Source organism: Homo sapiens, chromosome 5 (genome assembly GCF_000001405.40).
Source record: "Homo sapiens chromosome 5, GRCh38.p14 Primary Assembly".
Lineage (NCBI taxonomy): Eukaryota > Metazoa > Chordata > Mammalia > Primates > Hominidae > Homo > Homo sapiens.
The window spans coordinates 18,863,053-18,873,383 of NC_000005.10; the positions used below are offsets into that span (position 1 = coordinate 18,863,053).

Below are 10,331 nucleotides of genomic sequence, written 5' to 3' on the forward strand. Positions count from 1 at the left end.
TTGCATAATATCTTACTCAATTAGGTACTTCCGTGGGTTCCTTGAAGATTGCTCAGAAAGAGGCAAAAAGGAATGAAAAGCAAGTAACATGTTTGGAAATAAATGGACAGAAAATGTATTTCTTTTAGAAAAGTGGACTAAAAATGGAAAAATGCATTGAGCTTCAAGAATTTTTTTCTATTACCTTATGGTATGCTATTTTTCACTGTAAAAAGGTTTTGAATTAGGCTCCAATATCATAAATGGCAAGAGATCCTCTTTCAGAAGTACTTGGGAGCTTTACAACATGGAAATGGACTCTAAACATAATATTTAGAAAATAGTTGCTTTCTTCAAAATGGGACAAAAATACATCTATTTTTTAAAGGCACACTGCATTAGAAGTTCTCACATTTTAGTATGAGAAAATCTCCTTTTACAACTATATGTTCTAGTGGCCTTGAGGCACAAAAACGAGAGGCTATTCTACATATTGAATAAATGGCCAATTCTTAAGATATCTTTGACAATTCAGTGGACATGCACAATGAAAACTGTATTTTAAATCTTTTTTGGACAATTTCATTTCCATGAAAAATAGAATGAAGCTATATCTTTGTTCAGTGTTATTGTGAACACTAAAATCCTGGGCACGGAGACCGCAATAATATTACAGAAATAGACAGTGACTCAAGACCAGACAATTTTAACATCAGACTCCAGTGAGCCTAAAAACCCATAGATGAAAATAAAATGATAAGTATATGTATTTCTTAAATGTATGTATTTTAAGTAGCAAAGTCTTTCCAGAATATTAAATTGACTTGATATCTAAATATTCATTTTTAGAAGGACCGAAAAGCTGATTACTTTCTACCCATTGGAAAAATGTGTATGCTTTTAAAAACAATCCATATATTTTCTGATGTTGATTTTTTCTCCATTAGAGGATGATTTTGAGGCCTTTTCTCAAGAAGATGTTTTTAATTAACCATTTGGGCTACATTAGCTAAGGTAGAATTCATACCCACCATTCAAGAGCTTTATGAGTTAGATGTTTATGCATAGCAAGTCACCCAAGTGTAACGTCTCTGTCATTGGAGGTATTTTGCAGCATGGCTAACACACCAAGATTAAAATTATTAACGAATCCAGGACTCGCTATGGTGCCTTTTCAAGAAAAAGGTGACACAAATAAATGTAATCACTGAAAATGTTATTAACAATTTGCATGAGTAGATATATATTTTTAATGTTTATATGTTGAGTACTTAAAATTAATATGAATAATTCTGATTTGTTCATTACAAGATCTTACTCTTGCTTCCAAAAAATTCTCTCTGCTTTCAGTTTTTTCATATGTAAAAGAATATTAAGATAAGTAATTCATAATGTTATCTTATTAATTGCACTGAAAGTTCATTAAAGGTCCGTATTCTTATCTGGAAAATAGAACATAAACATACATTTTCATACACAATTTGAAAAGAATCACAGGTCTCAGTGTAAGAATTCGAGAACTATATGGTCTTTACAGCCTCTTTATTATAAATTAATATCATTCTAAGCACTCTACCATTGTATTCAGAACACATAAATATCAACACACTTGTGGGTTCCCAAATCTGTAAAGGTACATTATTATTTTGTTTGCATTGTGGCAGTTTTCCTGTAGGTTTTTTTTCACTAATAATTCGAGAAAAAAGAATAGCTTCAGCAGTAAAGTCATTCAGTTATATAACTGAAACATCATTCCACTAGGTTCTAATATAGGAATACCTATACTTTTCTTTATCAAGTATTTCCTAGTTGTGTGATCTTAGATAAATTAATGTTATATATTTTATATATTTTATAAAAGAGTTGTTTTTTTATTAGTAAGCTAATGTGTGTGAAGCCCTTAAAGTAATTTCTGTCAAATAGTAAGCACACTATAAATTTAACTATTATTTTATTATCTATTCTTTACAAATCAGTAATACGTATTGTACACGTATTAGTTTGTAGTCTTATAGTACAGTTTTCAGTGGCTAATAATAGCCTTCATGAGAGGTTTTATTATGTTTATTTTTGTCTAGTTTTACTTGGTTTAGTAGTTGAATCAATGCCTGATTTGGGGCTGCCATACTTTTTAGACACAGAATTTCTAAGACTCTTAAATTATGTGTTTGTTTTGTATCTGTTCACACTTGTTCAATATAAACATATTGAAAGTGAATTTCTATGAATTAACTCCAAAAAGCAATGAAAAATTTTAAATACAATCTGTCTCAAGAAATGCTCATGGCCAGTAATTTGTGAAATATGAAAAGGAAAGAGGATGGGAAACAGTTGTTTCCTTCCATGTAGTTCTTCCACTTATATATACACATGGTCTCAGTGACCACTAGATACTCACCACTCCTTCCCTAGCTCTTTGCTCTGACAATCACCATTAATTACATATGAGATGATAATTAAATTTTTCCTTAAGTTTTGGCTTTCTCTTACTCCAGCTTCATAAGTTAATACTACCGTGCTTCTAATGCAAGAAAAAGAAGCATCAACATGCTAGTGTGCTTATATATTCTTTTTTTCTTTTCTTTTTTTTTTTTTAGACGAAGTCTTGTTCTGTTACCCTGCCTGAAGTATGGTGGTACGGTCATAGCTCACTGCATCTTCAAACTCCTGGATTCAAGCAATCTTATCACCTCAGCCTCATCAGTAGCTAGGACTACAGGCATGCATCACCATGCCCAGCTAAGTTTTAATTTTTGTAAAGACAAGTTCTCCCTATGTTGCCTAGGTTTATTTAGTCTCATACTAACAGTTCACAGGTTACTTGGAAGTCATTTATTTAAATTTAAATAAGTACTACTTTAGTCATTCTAGTCTTGGTACAGTTCTAATTGTTACAATGATGACCATCATATGAGATTGGTAGGCTGCTAATCATTTTACTTGTCATGAACTATGATAATGAAAGTCAAGAAGGCAGTGATAATCACAAACTTGGAGTGCCTGGCATTTTAATGGTCTAAAATTTAAACTACATGGAAAGTAAATTAATAGCCTGGAATGTACTAATTTTTGGTTTTGAAAAATGAAAGAGAATATAAGATATAAAGTAGCATGAAATTTGTCTCCCTGGTTTAAGAAATGCATTGACCTACAAAAATAGCTGCTTTATATTAAAACATTATGTGACACAACTGGTGCTGTGAAAATACTGACACATTTTTATACAAAGTGAAGAGAAGATATTATTTTGGAGTTGTACTTCTGCACACTGAGGATTTTTATGATATGATTTAAACTGTAATTGCTTATATTAAATAAAACTTGACTTGCTGAGAAAGTTCAATATATATAATTTGACACTTTACACTTCTTTGCAGGATCTCAAATCCATGCAAATTTCATGGGTAAGTGAGCAGTCTTAATCAAGACTTGTTTAATTTGCCAGCAAAAAAATGACTAATCATTTTATTTTAGTGCTTTTTAGAGAGTAATTTTTTCCAGTAATGTGGCTCCTACATAAAATATTATTTATAGGATCTATTGAATGTCATATGCAACTTCCTCATCATTTAGAATACATAGAAAATTGTGTTCATCTTTCAATAATTGCAGATTTCCTTTGATTTACTTATGTTAATTTAGAAAAGCAGATCAGTAATCAATAGATAATGTGAATTGATACTTTGTTCTCCAATTATATTATATATTACTGAATTCTGACTTTCCGCATGGGGTGTCCCTGCCCCAAGCCAATGCCTGTGCTTATCAATCAGGTCTGACACATGTTATAAGCAAAGGAAGCGCTTCCCCATTTCCTGCCCCTTGAGTGAATGACTATCTTCTGATGCACCACCCACTGGCTTTTTTAGAGGAGTTCAGGAATGAAAGAGGAGGAGAAAAGGGAAGAGGAAAAAAGAGAAATAAACTTTATATTTAAAATACCATCTAGAAGAACTATTTTCCATACCTTCCCGCTTCTGAAAAAAATACTTTTATTAATTCCTAAGGTACTTTCGCATGAAGAGCAGTTCCTGACTTAAACTACCCTGAACTATGATGCTTAAATTTATGATGATTTTTATGAGCTTTAAGACGTCAGTGATGACGATCTAGTATCCCACAGGGGAAGCACTCTATTACCACTTGTTATTTGGCACAAGTAATATGCAGTCAAATGTGTTTCACATGTGTTTCTTTACACATTTTAAAATAGGCATGGAGCATATTAAAGAGAGAAGTTTCAGGGCCAGAAAAAAAAATATGCTTTGACTGCTTTCAGACAAGGATACATGGCATCATAAAATATATCAAAGGAAAAATGAAAAAGCAAATAAAATGTGTACTGAATCCCAATATTTTGGCTCTTTTTTAACTCCAATATTTGTTAAGATTCTAATTTGGAGTGTAGCTCTTGATACACTTACTGGTGGGAAGAAATTACAAGAAGATAAAAAATCAAGCTCCAAATCCTCACCTTGGTCCCATACTTTTTTATGTTCATGTGTTTAAGGCAGAGAGAACGATGTAGATCGAGGCTTCAAATTTGCTAATAATCTAAGTTGATTTTTACCAATGACATATAGGGTCTTTCTAAATGAGAAAATGAGAACATGCAGGTTCTCTGTTACCTATGCTTACTATTTAAAAGTAATGCTACCTCTACAAGATACTCTGTTTAGTGCTAATTTTGTAGATATTTGCTTTACTATTTTACTACTGTGTTTATAAAAGCAAATTTTTCTTTCAAAACAAAATAACATGCTTCAAAAATTATAAGGGAAGGGAAAAATTAAGACCCAGTTCTCAGTATGCATTTTTTATTTGGAAAACTAGACTCTTTTCTGAGGCAAAAATGTAAAATTTTATTTGTTTTACAGTTTTTCTTCATACGTTTTAGCTACTTTACTTGTAGGATATATGATTCAAGGCCTGCTAGAGCAAACTCCATCTTTTAATGAAACGATTATTTTGTGAAAATATATAAATACCAAATTATTTCTACTATCAAAGTTAGGAATTAATATATTTCCATTCAACTTTTGAAAATTGTAATGTGTTATCCAGTAGAGGCAATCTATATCTCTTTTCACTTTGAGTTAATAATGTTTTGTAGACTTCCTCTAAGAAGTTGGTTAATGCTTTCTCAAGCAGGAATTTATCTATTCAGCTATTCATTTGACCATTAGTAACATTTACTAAACATTTACTGTGCATTCCGCATTGCACCGGAATGCTCAGTCCTTTTCTAAGGAGAAACATAGCCTATAAACCAGAAAAAATAAAACCTCAACAAATAATTTCACCTACAGGACAGTGAGATAGGTGTTTTAGTAAGGGAGTCAGGTGGATCTGAACACAGTGGTAGAATACTGGTTACATGTGGGGTTTTCCAGGTGATTTGCAGGTTTTCATTTAATTGAAATCCCTGTCATGGAATGCAAGACCTCAACTAGAGCATCTAAATTATTGTATATACTTAGGAGGAAATGGGCTACATTCGAGGCCATATCTAAGGTTGATAAATTATTTAAATAAAATAAACCTAAGTGAATCCTTATTGTCATTCTGATTATAAATCTACCATCTCCTAGTATATAATTTTTCAAGAATATTCTAAAGCACAGGCAATATTTTAAAAATACTTTTAATCAAAGGAACTGGCATAGGTAGCTGCACATAAATTTAAATATATAGATATAATTGTCTAACTTATAATTACAACCAATTTGTCATTAGTTGCAAATCATTTTCCGTCACAAAATATATTGAAGACAGTACTCTTTCATTGAAGAGATAATCTTCCTTCTTCAATTTGTTCATGTTAAAAATAAATGGTGAAACTCTTCGAGGATTTTTGTTTGTTTTTCTTCTGTAACCGAGAAGAGCAAATAGAGTGAAAGTCAGAAAAGCAAGACAGAATTACATGCAAGAGATATTTTGTGAAAGTCTCTTAAAAGAGAAAATGGTTCTAAGTTGAACAAACCACCTCATTATTATGCTTTACAATATTCCATTGAAAGCCAGCACATTAGCAAAGAAAGGGAATTGCCAAGGACAACAAGGAAACATTAGGGAAAAATATAATTAAAGATAAAGTAGGCTACATGTTATTATAAATATCTATTACAGCCAGCAACATGGCTCTATAGTGTCTTTTTTTAAAAGTTGATTCATAAGCACAAATCAATCATACAGAAAATTAATGGAATGAAAAGGTTATCTTCTTTCTACTCAATTGATTTCAGCATGAAATAATAGCCAATATTAAACTATCACAAAAGAACAGAAAATTAACCATCCTCAGATTAGCATGAATCGCAACTAGGTGAAAGCTGTGATTTAAACTAACAATATTTGAACTAAAAGATATGAATTAAATAATGTATTTGACCTAAAAATAACATATATATGCAGAATCAATCACATATTTTTATCACATCCTACGTATTTTGAGTAAGCCTGTAGTTATATATTTTTGCATGAAGCTATATGCCTTATATTTGTATTTCTGTAATAGTTTTATTTATATGCAACTTTGAAAGCCTCATTTCCTTTTATTGGTTGTGAAAAGAGATCTCTACTTGCCAAAAGAAAGCATAAGTGATGTTACATAATTGACTTTTAGTACATTATTGTGGCTATAAAGTTGTATGCATAAATGTGTGACTTTAAAGAACAGGGACATTATAGTTGAGGCACGAGATGTGTTGTATTTTGAAACTGTGTCCCTTTTATTATTGTCAACATGGAACATATGTGTTTTTGTACTTCATATTTTTAATTAAAATATTCCTGGCTAGATGCTAAATTGTATTCTTATGTTTTTGACAGTATGTACATGGGAAAATCCAATATAATAATATACTGGCTACTTATATATCCCAAAAGCTCAAAAGTAATAACAGTTTTGAGATTTGAATCCATGCTACTCAGCTGAGTTAAACATTTACTTGCCTTAAAACTGAGTTTTTGCTACATTGGATATGAGGCATTTTAAAATTTCACATATATTTTTATAATCCATTCTGTTGGCCAGAAACTTACAAATCATTGTACAATGGATTGTACACTTTTCCAAAATGATATTCAGCAACTAGAATATTCATAAAATACTTGTGCTGAAATTTAGGTTACTACACCCTTGGAAATATTAGCTTTGGGGTAGTTCTAAAAGTCACTCTGATGCTAATTTGATTGAAAGTAATTCACTTTACATTATTTTGATAACATACAATGTATAGCCTTTCAAACCCTACAGAAAAAAAGAAAGCTAACCTATTAGGAGCTAATGGTTCAGAATATAACATCCATTTTTTATGGATGATCAAGGTAGGTTAAACACAGAAAAATAAAAAGTTTGAAGTCATGGAATACATTACAAGAATGCAGTTATATAAACCTAAAAAGGTATCCATATTTATTGCAAGATTTAGTAAATGCTTGATTTTACTAATGTTCTTCATAAATCTCCTAAATATTTTGGAGCATATCATATGACTCTCCATCTTAGATCTCTTTACAAAATGAGAGCTGGGTGTGGTGGCAGTTGTCTGTTGTCCCAGCTACTTTGGAGGCTGAGGCATGAGGATCCCTTTAGCTCAAGGGAATCAGACCAGCTTGGACAATATGGTGAGACTTCATCTCTAAAAATAAATAAATAAATGAGATACTCATGTAAAATACCTTTGTAAGTAATTAAAAGTTCAAAGACAAAACTATTAATATTCGAGCCCTCTTATCTGACTTGACTGAAATGTTTTTGTTTTATTTATTTGTTTGTCCATCCTGTTCATGTAGTTAGTTTACGGATAAAACTACACATTGCAGTGCTTTTCAAGAAAACAATCGCCAATTTTCACTCTAAATGCTAAACATTTCATTCCTCTTCTATGTTCAGAGACAATATTTGTTCTTATCCATCCTATTCTGAAATGGACTTTTCAAAAATATATAGTATGGTTATGCTAAACAAATGAAATACCTGAGAATAGTAGTCTTTAGTGTGACTACTAATGACTCTTACCTTCAACAACTCAATTTTTATGACTCTTGAATCATATGGCCAACTTCTAAAAATGTTTCTTCCAATTTCCATTTCACTGATAATGTATTGAACATTAGCATTCCTAATCATGCCAAAGTGATGAATGAACTAATTTTTCTTTGAAAATTTACTTTGCAGTTTCTTTCATTAGTAGTCATTTTTTATATTTGTTTTTTATTTTACTCTTATTTATAGGTTTGTGTCTTTGACCACACATTTTATTATAGTACGTCTTTTCTTATTGACTGGAAGGAGTTCATGCACTAAATTTTTAAAAATCTTACAAGAGAAGCTAGTTTTCTCTTGGCTCCTGGGTGCAATTCAAGGACTTATATTTGTATTACTAAAGCAAATGTGGTAAGGGTTTCTTTAAAACAAAACTTCAGATCCTGTCTGGGTATTTTGTTGACTGGGTGGCAAATATTTTGCCAAATTATTGATACATAGCTGTTGCTTACTATGCGATTTTTAGATATTAAGATATCGGTGTATTCAATATATCCATAAATTGTACAAATAAATGAATACATTTATTCTTAATTATGCATTTTTAATCATAATTTTGTACAGTGGGTGGTTTTCTTACTGTCAGTCAATATTCAGTTATTGAATATAACCCAGATAATAAACATTCATTTTATTTAGAGACTTGCTAGTAACCTAAGACTTGTCTAATTTCTCTCTGCTTTACTCTCATATACTAGGAAAGATCCAGGAAAAATTATAAAGTTACTGTAAAGATCAAATTTTCTTGATATTCCAGGAAAATTCTGGTTTGTATCTTCTGTAAGTTAATTAATCTTGTGAGTAATGTTTATAGTTCATTTCACTGTCAAAAGTTTCCCTGCTAGGATTATAATTTGAGATCATAAATTTAATAGGAAAATATAGTTATCTTACAGTGAGAGAGGTAAATTAATAGGATTTATTATACAGGAAGATCCTTCTGATTATACAGCAAACAATAGATTAGATCATAGCTTGAGCAAGGACCAGGACCAAAAACAACAATCCTCAAGAAGCTATTAAGATAACCTCTAAGAAAGAAAATGGTAAATTAAGCAAGTATGAACACTGTAGAAAAATAAATTTTAAAAAATTAAACGATATTAATGAGTAAAAAAAATTAAAAATTATCTGAGTTTGGTATGAGTGAGCTAGAGTAGTAAAAAATCACTTCTTTTATTTATTTATTTATTTTTGCTTCTGCCATCGGTCAATGGTGTAGGGAACAAAAAAGGGAAGTGATTTGTTGCAGACATAGATAAATCATGGACGAGCTGATGTCAAGACCTTTGATACATGAAGGTGAAAAGGCGGGTCCTAGAACTCAGAAAGGATATCTACAACCATCTACTCTTTGACAGTTAAGAATAAAAAATAATGGGGAAAGGACTCCCTATTATATAATTGGTGCTGGAATAACGGGCTAGCCATATGTGGAAGATTGAAACTGGCCCCCTTCCTTACACCATATACAAAAATCAACTCAAGATAGATTTAAGACTTAAACGTATAAATCTAAAACTATAAAAACCCTAGAAGAAAACCTAGGAAATACCATTCTGGAGATAGACCTTGGCAAAGATTTGATCACGAAGCCTCCATAAGCAATCATGACAAAAACAAAAATAGAAAGGTGGGACCTCATTAAACTAAAGAGCTTCTGCACATTAAATAAACAATCAACAGAGTAAACAGACAACCTACAGAATGAGAGAAAATATTTGCAAATTATGCACTTGACAAAAGTCTAATATTCAAAATCTATAAGGAACTAAAACAAATCAACATGTAACAGACAACTCCATTAAAAACTGAGCAAAGGAAATGAACAGACACTTCTCAAAAGAAGATATACACATGGTCAGCAAGCATATAAAAACGCCCAACACTACTAATCACTGGAGAAATGCAAATCAAAACAGCCTGAGATATCATCTCACACAATGCTCAAGAAACCACCACGAGCATGCTGCATGGTCACAGACGTGGGTCTGTAAAAAAAAGGCAGTGAAAACATTGTCTCAATGCAGCCTTCAGGAAAACAAACAGTCTATCTAAATGAGAATAAACGAAGGCTATTGAATCAGCCACCATCACCATACAGCATGCACATGGTGGTTTCTTGTGTATTGCTGCTAATCGTTTATTGAATCTGTGCTGGCGTAGTAACTCAGCATCAGGTCCAAGATCTGTTCTCCTGGTGTTGAGTTCCTTAGCTATTTATTTGCAGTTTGGTACCCAGATTTCAATATTGGTTCCCCTTTATTTAACATCGTTGGTGGAGATGTGCTGTACCTTTCAT

General features: G+C 31.6%; 1 annotated feature.

The window, feature by feature from the left end:
• Window positions 2,535–2,735: a silencer, noted in NCBI's record as "peak5171 fragment used in MPRA reporter construct". NCBI's record gives its function as "represses an SCP1 promoter by STARR-seq MPRAs in K562 erythroleukemia cells {active_cell/tissue: K562}" and the evidence as "EXISTENCE:reporter gene assay evidence [ECO:0000049][PMID:32103011]".